Source organism: Homo sapiens, chromosome 9 (assembly GCF_000001405.40).
Source record: "Homo sapiens chromosome 9, GRCh38.p14 Primary Assembly".
Classification (NCBI taxonomy): domain Eukaryota; kingdom Metazoa; phylum Chordata; class Mammalia; order Primates; family Hominidae; genus Homo; species Homo sapiens.
Window position 1 is genome coordinate 5,602,459 of NC_000009.12, and position 21,920 is coordinate 5,624,378.

Consider the following 21,920-nt stretch of genomic DNA (forward strand, 5'->3'; position numbering starts at 1 on the left):
AGGTAACAACATTACAGAATAAAAACCATGACCCCATCACCAAATATAAGAATTAGAATATTACCAATACCTTTACATATACCCAGAGTCATAGGTAGCCCATCCAGAGCCTCTGTGCAAATTAGAAAAAAAGCTCCTCTTCTTTGGGTTGGACACAACTCTAAACCAAGGTGCCTTGCTTGCCAAACAGAACACAGGCTATATTAATTACATGACCCACTTCTGCCCTGGTGTGCTTTCAGACTTATGTAAATGGAATTCTACTGTATATATTATCCTACAAATTATCTTTTTTACTTAACATTATGTTTGTAAGATATATCAATATTGTTACATGTAGTACTCCATTTTCACTGCTGTGTAATATTTCTTTGCATGTTTACGTGCTAAAAGAATTAACTCTATATCCCACTATTTCAGTTACAGGGTATCTATTGAAGGGTGAATGTGACTAAACTAAAAGAGAAATGTAGATCACATAAAGATGGATAAAGGAACTCTGGATCTTATTTTGGGTCAGGGAAAGCCAGTGTGCTTTCATTTGATGAGAAATAATTGCATTATATTAGGCAAGAGTGAGCTGGTAAAGGAGTGAGCACAACAGTAAATGTCTGGTGTCCATGCAGTGAATATTTTACATTCACTTATTTTCTCTATGGCATTTTCTGTCCTTTAATAAGCTTTTTCACTTTAATAATGTGGAAAATACAGTAATAGTGACAATCCATGCCTATTTAAGTAATGGGAGCACAATATGTGAGCTTACTAGAGAACGGCTATGACTGAAATGGACTCTACATCTTTTCATTTGGACTTACATGCAATTTCAATGTCTTTTGCTAGCAGATGAATGTGAATTCATTGCAGTGGATTTTTTATTCAGATACAGAATATTCGGTGCAATTTTTCTAAGTCACTATAGTCAATTTTCAGATAACAAAAAGTCCAATAACTTCTAAAATAGAAGAGAGAAAAATGGAAAAAGAAAACAAACTTACAAACAAAAGCCCAACCCCAATCAACTGAGTAGAGAGCAATAAAGGAAAAGGGGGAAAGCCAAATAAAAGTTGGACAAATAAAAATTAAAAGTGTGGTGGTAGAAAATGTCTAGATATATTAATAATTATAATAAATATAAATCTAAACTTTATAGTAAAAGACAGATTGGGGAACAAACAAACAAAAAACCTCTAACTACATGCTCTTTCAAAAGAAAAACCTAAAACTTAAGACACAAAATGGTTGAAAGATGTAGCAGGAAAACAGTAACCAAAAAAACAGAAGTGTATATTAAAAATCACACAAAATAGACTGATGAAAATAGGTATCGTTAGAGTTAGAGAGGGACCACTACTTGATTTTTATAAACGTTCCAATTGTCAGTGATATAATAACTTCAAAGTTTTACACCTAGAAAAATTGTTTCAAATATATAAAGCAAATATTTACTGAACTACAAAGAGAAATTGCCAATGAGAGCTTTCAATATATCTCTCTCAATTACCAACAGACCACCCAAAGCAAAGATATTAAAAATATGGAAGATCTGAACAACACAATTAATAACAATCAAATAGATAAAAATTCTGCATCCAACAGTTGGCAAATGCACTTATTTTTCTTAAATATCATAGTGCAATTACAAAAATTGTCCATTTATTAGACCATATGGCAAGTCTCACAAAATTATAACACAGTCCTCATTCTCTGTGCGCAAAGTAATTAAGTTAGAGGCAATAACAAAAGATAAATCTATAAAAGTTCTTATATATTGAAAAATGTGGAAACACACTTGTAGGTAATTCATGTGTCAAAGAAAAAATTATGGAAGAAATGTAAAAATCCTAAAAGCCGAATGATAATGAAAATATCACCTACCATGTTCTGTAAAACAGTCAAAGTCATTCTCTAAGGACAATTTATTAATTTGAAAGCTTGTTTCAGACAAGAAGAAAGGTTAAAAATTAATGAGCTTTGTGTTCAACTCAAGAAATTAGGAGGAAAAATAGAAAAACAATCAAAGTAGGAGGAAATAGATAACAGAGATAAAAACAGAGGTTCAGAAAAAAGTAAACAAAGCTACAAAAAAAGAATCCACAAAATTAAAAGTTTTATTTTATAAACAGAACAATCTCTGCTGAGATTGAGCGAGGAAAAAAAAAGAAGGCACAAATAAGCAATATTAGAATAAAAAGGGACCTAATCACAGACAAGGCAAAGATTTTTTTAGATGAGCTACTCTGAATCAATTTAGGCCACATATTCAAAAACTTAGGTGAAATGGGCAAATTCCTAGAAAACTATAATTTACCAAAACTTACTCAAAAACAGAGAACCTGAATTGTTTTGTATCTACCAAAGAAATGCAATCAATATTTTTAAATCTTCCCACAAAGAAAATATTTAGTTCAGATATGTTTACAAATTACTTACACCTAGGTTTCAAGAACGAGATCATTCCAATCTTTAAAAATGTCCTATAAAACAGAAAAAGAGGGACTATGACACAATTCACTCAATGATATTAACGTAACCTTGATAGCAAAACCAAAGAAGGACAGGACAATAAAGAAACCTTTTGAACCAATCTCACTCATAAACATAGCTACAAATTCAAATTAAATACTAATGAAACAAGCTTAGGAGTTTATTTCAAATAGATAATACATCATAAACAAGTTGAGTTTAACCAGAAATGCAAGCGCAGTTAAACATTAGGAAATAAAAAATATGGCTAGGCATGGTGGCTCACACCTGTAGCCCCAGTGCCTTGAGAGGCCAAGGTGGGTGAATTACTTGAGCCCAAGAGTTAGAGACCAACCGGGGCAACATGGTAAAACCCCGTCTCTACCAAAAAAAATACAAAAATTAGCCAGGCTTGGTAGCACATGCCTGTAGTCCCAGCTACTTGGGAGGCTGAGGTGAGAGAATCACTTGAGCCTGGAAGTGAAGGTTACAGTGAGCCAAGATGGCACCACTGCCCTCCAGCCTGGGCAACAGAGCAAGACCCTGTCTCAAAATAATAATAATAATAATAATAAAGAAAAGAAAATATAAAAATATAATTCATTGGCCAGGCACAGTGGCTCATGCCTGAAATCCCAGCACTTTGGGAGGCCAAGGCAGGTAAATCACCTGAGGTCAGGAGTTTGAGACCAGCCTGACCAACATGGTGAAACCCTTTCTCTGCTAAAAATACAAAAATTAGCCAGGTGTGGTGGCACACACCTGTAATCCCAGCTACTCGGGAGGCTGAGGCACGAGAATCGCTTGAATCCAGGAGGCAGAGTTTGCAGCGAGCTGAGATCGCACCATTGCACTCCAGCCTAGGCAGCAAGAGTGAAACACCATCTCAAAAACCAAACAAACAAACAAACAAACAAAAATATATATATATATGTAAAATTTACCGCATTAACAGACTACAGGGGAAAAATATGATAATCTCAAAAGATGCAGCAGATAATGAGCAGACTTATTAAAATCAGGAACAAGACTTAGAAGTCCTATTTACTTCTACTCAACATTATAGTGGATTTTCTAAGTGCATTAAGACAAGAAAAAGCAGCAACAAGTACAAAGATTGGGAACAGCAATAAAAGGTAGGAGTATTGGAATATACTTCATTCATAAGGATATAATTCTCTAAACAGAAAGTCCCACAAAATCTACAGGCAAATTCTTGGTAATAATAACAGAGCTGGCCAGGTGTGTGGCTCACGCCTGTAATCCCAGCACTTTGGGAGGTCGAGGAGGGCAGATCACCTGAAGTCAGGAGTTCCAGACCAACCTGATCAACATGGAGAAACCCCATCTCTACTAAAAATACAAAATTAGCCAGGCGTGGCAGCACTCGCCTGTAATTCTAGCTACTCAGGAGGCTGAGACAGAAGAATCGCTTGAACCCGGGAGGCAGGGGTTGCGGTGAGCCAAGATCATGCCATTGCACTTCCAGCCTGAGCAACAAGAGCAAAACTCTGTCTCAAAAATAAATAATAATTTAACAATAACAGAGCTAACCAACATGGCTGAATAGAAGACCAATACGCACAACCAAATATATTTCTAAGCATTGGCAACAAACAGAAAATTTAAAAAGTATAAAAGCAGTTTACCATATGATATGGTTTGGCTATGTCCCCACCCAAATCTCATCTTGAACTGTAACTCCCATCATTTCCACATGTCTTGGGAGGGACTCGGTGGGAGGTAATTGAATCACGGGGTTGGGTCTTTTCTGTGCTGTTCTTATGAGAGTAAATATCACGAGATCTGATGGTTTTATAAGGGGGAATTCCTCTACACAAGCTTTCCTTACCTGCTGCCATGTAAGACATGACTTTGCTCCTCCTTTGCCTTCTGCCATGATTGTGAGGCCTCCCGAGCCACGTGGAACTGTGAGTCTATGAAACCTCTTGTTCTTTATCAATTACCCAGTCTCTGGTATGTCTTTATTAGCAGCATAAAAGACTAATACACCATAACAACAAAAAAGTATAAATTACATCTAATGAAGTTATAGGAGACCTATATGGAATAAATTCTAAAACTCTATTTGATAAACATCAGAGAAGATCTACTATAGAAATAAATAAAAGACGACATTCAAAACGAAGACTTTCTATTGTGAAGTTACCAGTTTTTCCCAATTTGACCTACAGATTCAGTGTAATTTGATGCCAAATCACACTTTTTTTCCCAAGAAACTAAGAAGCTGATTCTAAAATTCCTATGGATGAACAAAGGTCAAAAATATAACAAAGACTCTTTTGGAGAAGAACAAGGTAGGAGGTATGCTTTATCCTGTTTGAGGACTTTGATTACAAAGTTAATTAAGAGAGTGGTATTAACGCTGCAATACACAAATGGGTTAATGGTATAGTAGAGACTTGGGAAACAGAGCCACACATATTTGGACATCATATATAACAGAGGTGGTATTGTATATAATCAAGAAAGGGAGAATTAGTCAATAAGTGGTGCTGGGAGAATATGGGGAAAAATGAAACTGGATTCCTACCCAACATGATACGTAAGTCAATTCTAGATGCATGCAAGACTTGGATGTGAAAGCTGATATTTTAAACATCTATAGGATAATATCTTTAGTTTCCTGGGGTAAAGAAAACACATACAAAACAAAAACAGGCTTGTCTGAAACTGAGAACACAAAACACCCCAAAAAACTTATCTAAAACTGAAGAGATTAACAAATTTGACTTTCTATTTTTCAAAATACTCCAAACAAGAATTTGTAGACAAGCGACAAGCCAGTAGTAGATATTTGCTATATATAACTAGTGGTACGCCCATACATGTTTTAAAAACCTAGCTTTGCAGAGATGAAAAAAGCCATGATTTGTTGGGTTTGATTCTTTTCAAGGTGGAAAAGTTTATTTCAAGCCACCAACATGATGTTGCTAAACATGAAGTTAGGAAGACATACACAAAATCTCTCAGACGAGTCTACACAAGCCAGCTCCAGTACACCACTGCATATAACACTAAAGGATTTGTTTCCAGAATGCATGAAGAACTCTTTCTATTTATCAATAATTAAATGACAAACAATGCCACAAAAAAGGGAGGCATGAATAGTCATTTTGCAAAAGAGGAAATATGAATGAAGAAAAAATACATGAAAAGATTCTCTACTTCACAGTGATCATATAAATGTAAATTAAGATTATAATGAGTAAACATATTATACTCTCCTGATGAACTAAAGTTAAGTATTACTGCTGGGTGCAGTGGTGGATGTCTGTAGTCCCAGTTACTTAGGAGGCTGAAGTAGGAGAATCACTTGAGCCCAGGAGTTTGACTCTAACCTGAGCAACATAGTGAGACCCTGTCTCTAAAAAACATTTAAAAAGAAATATTACTATATTAATTTTTCCCAAAGACAGATCAACGGGAACTCTTAAACAATGCTGGTGTGAACATAAATTGGCACAACCACCCTGGAATAGGATTTGGCATTATCTTACAAAGTTAAGTACTGTACATTCTACAATCCAGCAATATGTAAGCTCAGGTATATATTGTAGAGGAATGCTTGCACAAGTGCACCAGAAAATATGAACATGAATATGCACAGTAGCACTTTTTGTTAAAAACATAACAACCCAAATGTAATCAGTCAAGGTTTGTTCATAGAAGTAGAACTACTAAGATAAATTGACAAAACGGATTTAGAGACTTGACTGTATGCAATTGTGGAAGCTGGTTATACTCTCTAGGGGAGGCTGTTGTTTCTGTGTCTAGTGCTGGAGCTGAAGTTCACAGGACCAGTGGTCAGGAGGTAGAGAGCAGGAAGCGAGGACAAACTGGAATCCATGAGGATGGACTGGAATCTGCATTGGTCTCTCACCACCTCCAAACCTCTGGTGGAGGAGGAGTTAAACACACCTCTGACCCAAGAGTTAGAGAAGCTGAAGCATAAGATCCACAGGAGCTGGAGGAGCTATGGACCCTGCACCTACCTCCTGAGTGTTAGGAAATACAGCTAATTTCTTCACTTTCACTTTCCACATCAGGCAGAAAATGTCTCTCCAGGTTCATCTAGTCTATTTTCATATGAGAAGTTTAAGAGGCCCAGAGAAGTGAAGTGACTTGTTACCTAGAAGCCTGTTTTTAAAAAAAAAAAAAGTCTTATGCATCTGAAACTCTTCGTAAGAGAGTGCACGTCAGTATTTTTGATCTAGGTACAGGCTGTCCGAGGGATATTCTTGACTCATGTTCTTTTGCCAGTTGCCTCTGATTATATCACATAAGAGGGCTTAGGCAGCTTTGCAATAATAGTTCTACTAATTATTCTCCAAAGGAAATTCCTCATTCCACTGCAAATAGATGTGATCTTAAGACTGATTTCCCCCAGAATCACTACAATATACTCTTATCTAAATTTGAGCACAGCATCTAAATATTCATTTTATTTAAATGTGAATTGCTGCATTCGAGCTAAGGCCGAGTTCTCCATACGAGATCCAAATTTGGTACCAATTTGGTAACCATAATCCATGGTTACTCTGTGACTACTAATCTGGGGGAAAAAGAAAACACTCTTTGGCAGAAGAGGATAAGTACATTCCTAATTTTCATTTCCAGATTCTTAGCCACTCATCCAGGATGAATGTTAAAACCATTATCAAAACATAGCCTTAGAAATAAAATTGTTAGGGAGATAATAATAACTCTTTGTCAATGAATTTATTTTGAGCAATAATAATACAACAAAGTTCCAGTACTGCGAAAAAGTTTGGCTAATCTCAAGAACATTATAGCATATGCAACTTGAAGTAATTTCTTTATCTAAAAATATTGGGCCAAAAGAAACTAATTAGAGTTTAATGTAATTTTATATTAAGTGTCTTGCTGTGGTTTTAAGATTTTCAGTAATATACTTTATTTTAAATCATCTCAGTGATTTAAAAGAGTAACACTTTTAAATGATAAAAAAATTTTAATCATTTATCATTTTAAATGATAAAAATAAATTTTGAGTGGGAAACCCTTTTCATAAAGAAAAAAGAAAAAAAGAAATTTTTATCATTTTTAGTTTCACAAAATAACAAATTGGAAGGTAATAATGTAAATTTGTAAGCTTTTCGCTGCAAAAAACTGTCATAAAAATCTTTAGATGGTGTGTTTCATTACTGACTTTAAAATAAAATTTAATATAAAAATATAATTCATAGCTAACTTTTTCTGAAATGTGTTTCTTTTTTTACAAAGTGAGATGTATCAGTACTTCTTTCGTTTCTATGCAATAATATTGTCACTCTCCCTTTTCTTTTTTATTAACTGATTTGGACTCTATTTCTAAGATAGCGTATAACAAAATGCCCCCAAAACCCACAACTCACAATTTTATGGATACTCTACCTATTGGGATATATTCCAATATGGTTATCATGTAGAAACCTCAAAAGAGAAAGGCTAACTTCCTCCTGTAAAGGAGTGATCATTACCACCACCAATCAATTGAACAAAGCCACTTCCACACAGTCAATAAGCTGCTTTGACTTTTTCTTGTTCTCACTTTTCTGGGTCTAGACTTGGGGAGTTAAAGTGTTAAGGTCTATGTACTTTGGCCATGGGTAACTGCCACAAATTGGGTTCTCAGTGAAGCACAGTCTGGACAGAGATTGGGGTGAAGGAATTTTATTAGGGAGTGTTCTTGGGATCAAACCAGTCCACTGCCTGGTCTTAGGACAATAGTAAAGAGGGGAATAGCGCCCTCCCCCACAGGCCAAGGGAAGACAAAATTAGCAGGATGTAAGATCTAGCTATTCTTCCCCATGTGGAGATTCTCCTTCCAGTGAACTTTGGAGAACCGTTTATTTTTATTAAGAAAGGCAACATTTTTTGACATGTACAAAGCACTTTCCTATATTTTTATTTTTTAATTTTTGATTTCCATAGGTTTTTGGGGAACAGGTGGTGTCTGGTTACATGAGTAAGTTCTTTAGTGGTGATTTGTGAGACTTTGGTGCATCCATCTCCTGAGCAGTATACGCTGAACCCAATTTGTAGTCTTTTATCTCTCACCCCCTTCCCACTCTTCCTCTGAGTCCCCAAAGTCCATTGTGTCATTCTTACGCCTTTGCATCCCCATAGCTTATCTCCCACTTATGAGTGAGAACATATGATGTTTGGTTTTCCAAGGGAAGGCAATATTTTTATTAGGGGTCTATAAATATTAGTGGCTGTTTTTTAAAATTTGGTATTTCAACTGTAGTCTTCATGATCAGTGATTTAGAAAAATACCATATTGTACTGAAATAAATTTGCTATATATTTATTTCAGATTCTATATTAAAAATTGAAAAATTAGTGTTTTCTGCTGTTTGGAAAATACAGTAAATTTTCTTCTCTAAGTTTTCTTTTGCTAGAGTTTTTATGTGATGTCACGGGCCTCTCCATGCCCTTTGCATTCTCTTCCAAAAATCTGTTCTTGCTGTCAGTTAAGTGGAAATGGTTAGCAACGAAGCAAAATCAAAGTGGACCCACCCAGCTTTTATATCCTGCATGGCTGAGCTTTAATGAAAGTTTGAGTTTTTCCAAAAGTCTGGTCTCTACTGACTGGGAATGAAAAACATTTGGAAAAAAATGCCTTGAGCATGTGAACCATGTAATTTCATTTGAACTAAGGAATTCCAAAAATACTTTGCTTATTGGAAGGGCAGTTATATTGCTGCATTAGAACTTGATATTGAGAAGGATAAGTACTAGTTCTTTTCTCCCTTTTTCTCATAAACATTAAAAAACTTAGACTGAGTGGCTGGGTAGGAAAATAGTGTAAAGAGGCTAAGTTGGACCACCAGGTGGGCTTGCTCTAGAACCTATTCCTTCCTTAGGAGATCCATCTACTCTTCCGGGTTCCATAGAGCCCCACGCAGCTTGAAGCAACCCACTCTGCACTGATGACAATGCAGGGCTTCATCTGGCCATATCTTGATGACTACTTGAACTGAGGCCCAGTCCTTTAGTCAGTTCTGCTCACCGACACCAGTGTAAATGCTATGCCAGTAGCAAAACTGGAATTGCTGGGTCCCTGCTGGGCAATCTGGCCAGAGAACAAAGTAGGTCCTGTTCAGTTTTATGTCTCCATGAGGGGATCAGGTGTTAATATTATTAACTAGCATTTTTGGGAATATGTACTATGTGCTAGTCACAATACTGGATACTTTTACATGGATTACATTATTCAATCTCCGTAACAATCCTCTATGGAATTTTGAAGCTTAGAAAGGTTAAGAAATCAGGTTTTGAAACCAATCAGTCTGACTCCAAAGCCTTTGATCTTCTTTCCTATTTTGTAATCCCTGGCTTTTAATCATGGGTCTTAGTGTACTAGATTGGGATCACAGATAGCAGTGTGGCAGATACAGTTGGTGCCCTGCCCATGTCTCCTGAGCCTTACCAAGTGCCAGCAGCTGGACCATCTTGCTTAATGGCCTTCTCTGGTGGCTGGAGCTCCATATGTGAGCATAGGTTTGAGGAGATGTAATGCCTTAAGTGCAGCCTTTAACTAATGATTGATAGGAGTTGGGGTATGAATACTTCAGCTCCTTTGCTACTCTGGTAGAGTAACTCAGAGGCATGAATTTTACACTGGTACCCAAAATTCTCCAGAGGGATTAAGTCCATTACCCACAGTACTAACCCACTTGAAAACATGCCCTTTTTATTGATTGCCTTCCCTCTTTGTCTCACTTCCCTTGCCCATATTTCCTGAGATCACTACCCAAGTAAGCTACTTGTGTACATATTAATGCCTTAGGATCTGGCTTCTGGGGGAACCAAAACTAAGACAAAGAGCAAAGAAACGGTGGACCTATGAAGAAGGAGGACCCAGTTGGAGTGGATGGGGCAATGCTGGAAGGAAAGCATGGGGTTGCAGTCTCTAGGAAGAAGCCTCTGATGATGGTTTCCTGTTCTTGAAGCTGACAGTGTCATTGTGAGACAGGAGACAAAGGTTTTGGGGGATTATTGAATATTGACACACTGGATGGTTCTTTGATTGCTTGATTGAATGGAATTTCTTTCAGAAGTTCTCTCTTGGTCTGTTCTTTTCAAATGTATTCTATATTTACCCAAGTTTAATAAGAAGAGATTCCAGAAAATGCAACCATTAATAACTGGAATAATGAAAGAAAATGCTAACACGTTAAAAACAGAACATTGAGTAAATGGTCATAAGTAAATGAAAGACAAATGTATATATATAATTTTGGAGGATGTATAATTTACTCATATGGCCTGAATGTGGTAATACTATGTATCATATTTCATGCAAACATAAACTGAATGAGGCTTTTTTTTTTTTTAAGACAAAGTCTCCCTCTGTCACTTAGGCTGGAGTGCAGTGGGGTGATCTCGGCTCACTGCAACCTCCGTCTCCCAGGTTCAAGCAATTCTCCTGCCTCAGCCTCCCAGGTAGCTGGGACTACAGGCGCGCACCACCATGCCTGGCTATTTTTTGTATTTTTAGTAGAGACGGGGTTTCACCATATTGGCCAGGCTGGTCTCAAACTCTTGACCTCGTGATCCACCCACCTCGACCTCCCAAAATGCTGAGATTACAGGCATGAGCCACTGCGCCCGGTCAATGAGGCTCTTTTATACCACTTTTACTACACTTATAGGATCATTTCTCAACTTGTGACTCTATCATCTTTACTGATTAACTGGACATCCAGTGGTGCCCAAATTTTCAGGGAATAACATGGGCATGGGCAAAATCTTGCCTTGTTAAGGTTAATGGTATTGTAAATTGTTAACTATTGCATTTAGGTCGGGCATGGTGGCTCACCCCTGTAATCCCAGCACTTTTGAGTGGCCGAGGCAGGCAGATCACTTGAGGCCAGGAGCTTGAGACCAGCCTGGTCAATATGGTGAAACCCATCTCTACTAAAAGTACAAAAATTAGCCAGGCATGGTGGCAGGCACCTGTAATCCCAGCTACTGCAGAGGCTGAGGCACAAGAATCACTTGAACCCAGGAGGCGGAGGTTGCAGATTGTGCCACTGCACTCCAGCCTGGGCGACAGTGAGACTGGAAAAAAAAAATCAATTGCATTTACACATTTTAATATCTGTCATTAATTTTATATATTCAACTTCATGTCCGCATTAACCAAGTTTTGCCTGAGACATCATACTTAAATTTACATGGCTGTTATAATAATCTGAAACAAATTGGTTTTTGAAGCAGTCGCTTGGGGTATTGTTAACACATTCATGAAGAGCAAACTTAGAAATGCCCATTATTTTTTATAAAATCTGTAGATTCAGAGAGGAAAATAAAGTTGTAAGTAGACATTTCTTCTTCTGAATACTCCAACCACAAGAAGGAACTGTATGAGCAATAACAGAATATTTTGAGATAATCTTTAGAGTATCTAAGCACTCAATCCCCATTCATTGAGTCTTGAAGACGCCCAATATGCTCACCACATTCCAGTCAAACAGCACTTTCACCAGAGATTTGAGTTACAGAGCTGGATAACCCCTCAATGCTTTTTTTTTTTTTTCTTTAGATGGGGAGTCTCGCTCTGTGACCTAGGCTGTGGTGCGATCTCGGCTTACTGTAACCTCTGCCTCCTGGGTTCAAGCAATTCTCCTGGCTCAGCCTCCCAAATAGCTGGGATTACAGGCGTGCACCACCACACCCAGTTAATTTTTGTACTTTTAGTAGAGACGGGGTTTCACCATGTTGGCCAGGCTGGTCTTAACTCATGACCTCAAGTGATCCACCCACGTCAGCCTCCCAGAATGCTGGGATTACAGGCATTAGCCACCACGCCCAGCCACCCCTCACTGCTTTTTAACAAATACTAACAGGTAAACTGTTTATCTGCTTGATCATAGAAGAACATGGACTCAATGATGAAGTATATATAGGCAATGGTCAACTTTGTTTTCTAATCCACACATACAGCTGATTTAAACCCATGTTTTCATTTACTGGTCAAGATAAAAATATGGAGGGAGTCTTGCTATTCATGCAAACATTTTTGTCTTTACCACACAGGAATCCTCAGAAAACCTCTGAGAACAATATGTTTGCTTGGAGTTAGAGAGGTGTCCAGTTAGGGGAGATGTTGGGACACTTTGCTCCCTTCCTACAGAAGGGATTCCCAAGTCCTACAGAAGAAGATTCCCCTCTAATGGAAAGCAGCACGTAGTGGCAGCATAAGCTAAGAAAACAATCAACTCCTAGGAAACTGTGGAGGACAGTAAGAGCCTGTAGCGCATTACAATGGGCATCCTGAGAAAGTGACCAGGGTACAGGGAGATTCTGCCTTTGGTGTATTATATATTAAATGATGTGGATGGATTAATGTTGTTAAAATATGGAGACTTCTTCCCCCGCCCTTACTCTTCAGCCCCAGTCCCTCCCCTCCTCACCCCCTTCAAAAAAGAAAGAAAAAAGAAAAAGAAAGAAAGAAAATGGTGTTAAAATATGATCCTATTGTTAAATGTTAACTCTTTGATTCATTTATAGCCTTCAACATCATACCTGGGTGATGTGATTCCTTCTTCCCTCTCTTACTTTTACATCCATGGATGTATGCCACAGAAAGATCTACAGCACTGTTTATTTTCAAGAATTCACATGACCCTTTAGATAAATTATTGTTTTCATTTTTGCCTAAGATACACAAGATATTATTCTCCAAGTAAATGTGAAAATACTGATTTCCTTCATTTCTTTAGCAAAGTAATTTTATACATGAAGGATTGAGTAAAAACAAATACCTTAGGAGTTAAAAAAAATGTAGTTAATAAGACAGCCTGACATAAATTATTATATACATTTAGTTGGTGAGAAAATAAGTTTGTGGAAAGAGATGGTATAGTGAAGTTGATAAACTTGGGGATTCTGGGTTCAAGTTTTGACTCCATCACTTTCCAGCTCTGTGAGCCTTGAGCTTCTCTAAGCCCCAATTTCCTCATCTGTAAAATGGGGATAATATGTATCTCATGTGATTGTTGAGAGGATAAAAATTAAATAATGTAAAATGCTTAGAGCAGTATCTAGTACATAAGTGCAGAATAAATGCTAGTTACTGTTATAATTTATGTAACAGTACCAATCATTAGACACAAAGTTCTTTGTGACTAATCCACAATATACCACTAAAGGCACAGATTAATGCCAGTGCCTGGTTTCTAGCACTTAAAAAAATAACAACCTGGTATGACAGATATTAACATTTCCACCTGCAGGTAAAAAAACGGTTAAAGGTAACTTAGGGCTAGCAGGGCAATATGAAGGTGATCAGCAGGGGCCAGGTGGTCAGGTTTAACTTGCCCATAATTGCTATTGAATGACCCAAGGTCACTTCCACTACTTGGTCTTATCTGGTTTTCACAGCACAATTTTTACATCCTTAGACAGCTCTCTCATTAGGAAATCAAGAAAATTCAGATCTGCTGGAGAAGGGATCATGGCCATATCTCCCAGGAATCCAGTGCACTTTTTGACTTGTTTACAAACTAACAGAAGGTTGAGTACAGAGATTCCAGACCATATTCAAAGTACACACCGGACACTTTTTTTTCCTCCTAAAGAAATGTCAACCTTATTAATATGCATGAGACTCATAGTGGATATTTGTTAAAAATGCTAATTCTTGGGCCATACCATCAACATCAAGGACTCCGGATTCAGAAAGCCTGGGACTTGGCCAAGGAATCTGTATTTTAAATATATCTCTAGACAATTCTGATCCAGATGACTGGACCACACTTTGGGAAAACTGATCTCCTTGATAACAAATTAACAATTTTAAAAATAGTACTTATTATTTTTTGATGATAAAAGAAAAATTAGAAAGTGCTCAGAACAGAAAAAATTAATAATTATATTTTCAGGAGATGATGACTGCAAATATAGCTGTCCTAATTTTTTTAAATAAAAGACAATAAAGGAAATAATGTATTTTGGGGGGCATTTGGTAGCCATTTTTCCATATCTCTTTTCAAGTTCTTACATTCAAGTGTATTGGTTGTTCAGTTTCACAGGTATATTCCTTTTATACCAACTCTTAATGGCTTTTATAAATGATTTCTATGTTTGAAATATATATAAATTTACTCTATGAAATCCACTTATATTCTTGTTGGGTCAGGAGATTGGACTGGATGTGTTTAAGGCCCATTCTGACTAAGATGTCATACTTGTAAGATTGTTATAACTCTTTTAAGTATAAGGAATAACCCCATTCAAACTTGACAGATAATTTAAAATTATATCCCCCAAAAGTTAAAGATTTCCTCTTGGGGTTTGACCTTTTATGCAGATCTCCTGATGTGACAGTATATCAAAGGTAGTAACATTTCTCCAAAGGTGATACACAAATGGCCAACAAGTATATGAAAAAATGCTCAACATCACTAATCATCAGAGAAATGCAAACCAAAACCACACCCATTAGGATAGCTATCATTTAAAAGCAAAAACAAAAACAAAGCCTGAATATAACAAGTGTTAGCAAGGATATGGAAAAATTGGAACCCATGTGCACTGTTGGTGGGATTGTAAAATGGTGCAACCACTATGGAAAAGAGTATGGAGGTCCCTAAAAAATTTGAAAAGTAGAAGTACCATATGATTCAGCAATCCCACTTCTGCGTATATATCCAAAAGAATTGAAAGTAGGGTCTCTAAAAGATATTTGCACACCCATGTTCGTAACATCACTATTTACAATAGCCAAGATTTACAACAGCCAAGTTGTGGAAGCAACTCAAATGTCCATGGACGGATGAATGGATTAACAAAATGTGCTATATACATGCAATGAAATGTTATTCAGTCTTAACAAGGAAAGATATCCTGTCACATGCTACAACACTGATAGACCTTCAGGGCATTATGCTAAGTGAAACAGGCCAAGCACAAAAAGACAAATACTGTATGATTCTACTCATATGTGATATCTGAAGTAGTCAAATTCACAGAAACAGAAAGCAGAATGATGGTTATTAGGGTCTGGGGAAAAGGAGGAAAGGGAAGTTGATGTTTCATGGGTATAGAGTTTCAGTTCTGCTAGATGAAAAAAGTCTGTCATGATTGGGTAATGAATTTGACTCTAAGTTCACTGATACATACAGGAGATAATGGACTGACACAATGAATATGAAATTTTGGCTAAATTATTGAAGGCATATTTGTCTGAATAGAGAGTAGGGTGGGAATCTCAGAATTATAGGGTTAAAAATGTCTTGTTCCAACTCCTCTTGCCATTTTAGTAAAGAATACACACTGAAAATGCAGGTATGACTTTTTTTTTTTATACTAGAGAACTGATAGGGACATGGTCAAACACAATTGTTACTGTTGGCTAATTTATGTAGAATCAATTCTGTTTCCAATCAGTTTTCATTTCTAAAAAGACTAAAGTGAAGAGCAAACATAACGACCCTTCCCATTTTGCTTGGTTAGCAATAGTAGGCTGTTTGGCTTTATTTTCCAGTTTGTGCTAATGCTCCAGCCCAGAAAGTCTCACTCAGATCCATTAAGGCTTAACAATAAGCCATCCTGCCTTTAAGGTTAATTAAATGATTTGAACTAATATTTAACACTATGAACTGTGAGGAGAATTGTGGACAAAGTAGACTGGTTAGTCACATATGACCAGTTACTGACATGTTCTTTTCAATTTAAATGTTTACATTTTTTATTAATATTATTTAAAATGTCAACCACATACCAAAGTGGAGCAGATAACACAGTGAACTCCCAAGTACAGTCACACACTGCCTAATGACAAGGATATGTTCTGAGAAATGCATTGTTAGACAATTTTGTCACCCTGTGAACAAAGAGTCTACACCAAACTAGATGTTGTAGTCTGCTACATACCTAGACAATATAACATATTGCTGCTAGGTTACATACCTGTACAGCATGTTACTGTACTGAATACTATAGGCAATTATAACACAATAAGTATTTGCATATCTAAACACAGAAAAGTTACAGTAAAAATACGGTATAAAAGATTTAAAAAAAAATGATACACCCATACAAGGCACTTACTATGAATGGAGCTTGCAGGACTGGAAGTTGCTCTGGGTGTCACTGGATGAGTGGTGAGTGAATATGAAGGCCCAGAACATTCCTATACACCACTGTAGACTTTATAAACACTGTACACTTAGGCAATAAATTTATTTACAAATTTTTCTTTCTTCAATAATAAATTAACCTTTGCTTACTGTAATTTTTTACTTTATAAACTTTAGTTTTTTAAACTTTTAAACTCTTGTAATAACAGCTTAAAACACAAATATGTTGTGCAACTGTATAAAAACTATTTTCTTTCTTTATATTCTTATTCTATAAGCTCTTATCCATTTTTATTTTATTATTTATTTGAGTTGGAGTCTCGCTGTGTTGCCCAGGCTGGAGTGCAATGGCGCTATCTCGGCTCACCACAACCTCCGCCTCCTGGGTTCAAGCAATTCTCCTGCCTCAGCCTCCCAAGTAGCTGGGATTACAGGCGCCCACCACCACGCCTGGCTAATTTTTGTATTTTTAGTAGAGACAGGGTTTCACCATGTTGGCCAGGCTGGTCTCAAACTCCTGACCTCGTGATCCACCTGCCTCAGCCTCCCAAAGTGCTGGGATTACAGGCGTGAGCCACCAAGCGTGGCCCATTTTTATTTTTATTTTTTCTCAGACACAGTCTCACTCTGTCGCCTAGGCTGTAGTGTAGTGGTGGGATCCAGCTCATTACAACCTCTACCTCCCAGGTTCAAGAGATTCTCGTGCCTCAGCCTCCTGAGTAGCTGGGATTACAGGTGCACACCACCACACCCGGCTAATTTTTGTATTTTTTAAATTTTTTGTAGAGATAGGGTTTCGCTATGTTGGCCAGGCTGGTCTCGAACTCCTGGCCTCAAGTGATCCGCCCACCTTGGCCTCCCAAAATGCTGGGATTACAGCCATGAGCTACCACGCCCGGCCTATTGTTAAAAAATTTAATTTTTAAAAACTTTTAAAACATTTTTGTTAAAAACTAAGACACAACTACGTAAGCCTAGGATTACACGGGGTCAGGTCATTAATATTAGTGTCTTACACCTCCACATCTTGTTCCACTGTTAAGTTTTTTTTTTTTTTTTGACAGGGTCTCACTCTGTCACACACACTGGAGTGCAGTGGCGTGACTAAAGCTCACTGCAACCTGGAACTCCTGGGATCAAGTGATACTCCTGCCTCAATCTTCCAAGTAGCTAGGACTACAGGCATGTGTCACCATGCCTGACTAGTTTTTTAAAAAATTGATTCGTAGAGACAGGGTCTTGCTACCTTGCCCAGGCTGGTCTTGAACTCCTGCCTCAAGGGATCCTCCCACCTTGGCCTCCGAAAGGGCAGGGATTACAGGTATGAGCCACCACATGGGCCTCCCACTGAAAGTTGCTGAGAGGCAATAACACACATAGAGGTGTCATATCCTGTAACAATGCCTTCTTTTGGAATACCTCCCTGAAGGACCTGCCTAAAGTTGTTTTACGGTTAAGTTTATTTTTTAAGTAGAAAGCGTACCCTTTAAAATAAAGAAAAATAGCATAGTAAATACATAAACTAGTGACATAGTCATTTGTTATTAAGTATCATATACTATATATAATTGTGTTATACTCGTATTTAACTGGCAGTGCAATAGGTTTGTTTACATAGGCATCAACACAAACACATGAGTAATACATTGTGTTATGGCAGTATGACAGTATCATGTCACCAGGTGATAGGAATTTTTCAGCTGCATTATAACCTCATGGGACCACCATTCTAAATGCAGGCTGTCACTGACTGAAACATCATTATATGGTACAGGACTATACTCATCACTCAGCTTCAAAGAAAAACAACTCATGGCCAATTTTGTTTCATATATATTTCACTCACCCCCAGATTATTTTGAAGCAAAACCCAGACATCATATCAATTCAGCTGAGATATTACTTACTTTCAGAAGGGACAAATGAAATCAAGAGGCTATCCCAGTCCAGGCAAGGTGGCTCACGCCTGTAATCCTAGCACTTTGGGAGGCCTAGGTGGGTTGATCACCTGAGGTCAGGAGTTCAAGACCAGCCTGGCCAACATGGTGAAACCCCCATTTCTACTAAAAACACAAAAATTAGCTGGGCGTGGTAGCATATGCCTGTAATCCCAGCTACGCAGGAGGCTGAGGCAGGAGAATCGCTGGAACCCAAGAGGCGGAGGCTGCAGTGAGCCGAGATCTTACCAATGAAGTCCAAGCAGGGGAACAGAACAAGACTCATCTCAGAAAAAAAAGCCACCCAGGAAGCAAATACAACAGTTTATACGATAAAAGTGTAATCAGGTTGAATATTAAAAATATATTAAAGTCATAAATGAAAGCAGTACCATTTTCAATGGATATTATCATAGGTTCTTACGGAGGTCTCCAAATACCGAGAGTAGTATGCTCAGACCCAAAATCCAGCCACAGCTCCATCATCACAAGCCTGTGAATACGTGCGAAAGTACACAGGGCCTACTTTTAATCTGGTGACTCAGGGTACCCTTCCTCCTCATCTTCTTCTCACTAGGCTTGGGACTGAGCCAGAAGCTACACATTACACTACTCCCTTTGACTTGCCAGTTCTGCAAGGTCCTACTTAAAGCAGAACAAACAAACAGGACATTACTAATCATAAGCAATTTAACTTTTTAAAATAACTTTATTCTTATCACAAAAGTAACATGAACTCATTACAGACAATTTGGCAAATCCAAAATCCCAAGGAAGAACATAAAAAGTACCTATAATTGCATTTTCCCCATTTTTTATTAGGCACATATGTAATTTTTTTATAAACATGAGATTATATTTTACATACTGTATTTAATCTGTTTTCATTACTTTCTAATATATACTGAATATACTTCCAAGTGATTAAATATTCTTCCTCAACATAAGCTTTTATTTTTGCAAAATACTCAGGTGTAAGGAAGGACAGTAATTAATGTCTTTTTGGAGACATTTAGATTATTCCCACTTAGATACACCTTTAGATTTAAAGCTAAAATTCTGTAAATATCAGTGTTTATTTCCTTAGAAAATAATCATAGGAAAGAAATCCAGGCATACTTCAGAGATATTGCAGGCTGGGTTCCAGACCAACCCAATAAAGTGAATATTGCAATAAGATGAGTCACACACATTTTTTGGTTTGCAAGTAGTTATAAAAGTTATGTTTAGACTGTTCTGTCATCTATTAAGTGTGTAATAGTATTTTGTCTAAAAAATGTGTATACTTTAATTTAGAAAATACTTTATTGCAGCCGAGCATGGTGACTCATGCCTATAATCCCAGTACTTTGGGAGGCCGAGGCGGGCAGATCACCTGAGGTCAGGAGTTCAAGACTAGCCTGGCCAACATGGGGAAACTCCATCTCTACTAAAAATACAAAAATTAGCCAGGCATGGTGGCACACGCCTGTAATCCCAGCTACTCGGGAGGCTGAGGCAGGAGAATCGCTTGAACCTGGGAGGCGGAGGTTGCAGTCAGCCGAGATTGTACCACTGTACTCCAGCCTGGGTGACAGAGCGAGACTCCATCTCAAAATATATATATTATTGCTAACAAAATGCTAATGATCTTCAGAGCTTCCAGCAAATAGTAATCTCTTTGCTGCTGGAGGGTCTTGTCCCATGTTGATGGCTGCTGACTGATCAGGGTGGTGGTTGCTGAAGGCTGTAGTGACTGTTCCAAGTTTTTTTTTTTTTTTTGACATGGAGTCTTCCTCGGTCGCCAGGCTGGAGTGCAGTAGCGCGATCTCGGCTCACTGCAACCTCCGCCTCGCAGGTTCAAGCAATTCTCCTGCCTCAGCCTCCCGAGTAGCTGGGACTACAGGCGGGTGCCACCATGCCCAGCTAATTATTATTTTTTTAGTAGATACGGGGTTTCACCATGTTGGCTAGGATGGTCTCGATCTCTTGACCTTGTGATCTGCCTGCCTTGGCCTCCCAAAGTGCTGGGATTACAGGTGTGAGCCACCGCACCTGGCCCCTTTCCAGAAGGTTTTAGATTCACTTTGCTCAGATCCATCAGAGGAATCACTGTGTATAGCAGATCCACTATGTATAGCTGCATTTCATAGCAGCTCTAGCCTTATGAAATGTATTTCTTAAATAATAAGACTTAAAAGTCAAAATTATTCCTTGGTCCACAGCTACAGAATGGATATTGCATTAGCAGGCAAGGAAACAGCATTAATCTCCTTGTATGTCTCCATCAGAATTCTAGGATGGCTAGATGCACTGTCCGTGAACAGTGAAAGTTTGAACTATGTATAGCAGATTCACTATGTATAGCTGCATTTCATAGCAGCTGTAGCCTTATGAAATATATTCCTTAAATAATAAGACTTAAAAGCCAAAATTACTCCTTGGTCCATGGGCTACAGAATGGATACTGCATTAGCAGGCAAGGAAACAGCATTAATCTCCTTGTATGTCTCCATAAATACTCTAAGATGGCTAGATGTGCTATCCATGAACAGTGAAAGTTTGAAATGACTCTTTCATTCCAAGTAGTAGTTCTCAACAAGAGCTTAAAATATTCAATAAATCATACTGGAAACGGATGTGCTATCATCCATGCTTTGCTGTTCCATTTATAGAGCACAGGCAGAGTAGACTTGACATAATTCTTAAGGGCCTTAGGATTCTAGGAGTGGTAAATGAGCACTGGCTTCCACCAAAAAAGCCACCAGCATTATTAGCCGCTAACAAGGGAGTCAGCCTGTCCTTTGAAGCTTGGAAGCCAAGCACTGACTTTTCCTAACTATGGAAGTCCTAGATGGCATCTTATTCCAACAGATGGCTGTTTTGTCTACACTGAAGATCTGTTGTTTAATGTAGCCACCTTTATCAAAGATCTTAGCTAGATCTTCTGGATAACTTGCTGTAGCTTCTACGTCAGTACTTGCTACTTCACCTTGCAGTTTCATGTTATGGACACAGCTTCTTTTGGTAAACCTCATGAACCAACCTCTGCTAGCTTCAAATGTTTCTTCTGCAGTTTCCTTGCCTCCCTTAGGCTTCACAGAATTGAAGAGAGCTAGGGCACTGCTCTGGCCTAGGCTTTGGCTTAAGGGAATGCTTTTTAAAAACTGGTTTTTGCTTCATTTTAGAGACAGGGTCTCACTCTATCACCCAGGCTAGAGTGCAGTGGCGCAGATAGCTCATTGTAATCTGGAACTCCCAGGCTCAAGTGATCCCCGTCTCAGCCTCCCAAGTAGCTAGGACTACAGGTGCACACCATCATACCCAGCTAATTAAAACATTTTTTTTTAAAGAAATGGGGTCTTGCTATATTGCTCAGGCTGGTCTCGAAGTCTTAGGCTCAAGTAATCCTCCTGTCTCA

General features: G+C 38.0%; 1 long non-coding RNA gene across 6 annotated transcripts in view, besides 1 other annotated feature; it reads right to left on the reverse strand.

Annotated features, from left to right (window-relative positions):
- Positions 1 to 21,920, reverse strand: part of INCR1 (interferon stimulated noncoding RNA 1) — a 172,297-nt gene that overhangs the window by 145,028 nt on the left and 5,349 nt on the right. Inside the window, exons 1-3 of one of the 6 annotated variants that reach the window (XR_007061407.1) lie at positions 6,483 to 19,023; positions 4,319 to 4,470; positions 2,434 to 2,477 (exon numbers count right to left, since the gene is read on the reverse strand). The exons of 2 other annotated variants lie outside the window; for them this stretch is intronic. This is a non-coding gene — a long non-coding RNA (interferon stimulated noncoding RNA 1). Of the gene's footprint in view, positions 1 to 2,433; positions 2,478 to 4,318; positions 19,024 to 21,920 lie in introns of those variants that run through there. 3 more of the 6 variants (XR_007061405.1, XR_007061408.1, XR_007061404.1) reach the window with 3 other exon arrangements.
- Positions 6,566 to 6,615: an enhancer, noted in NCBI's record as "active region_28174". NCBI's record gives its function as "activates an Ori minimal core promoter by ATAC-STARR-seq in GM12878 lymphoblastoid cells {active_cell/tissue: GM12878}" and the evidence as "EXISTENCE:reporter gene assay evidence [ECO:0000049][PMID:35858748]".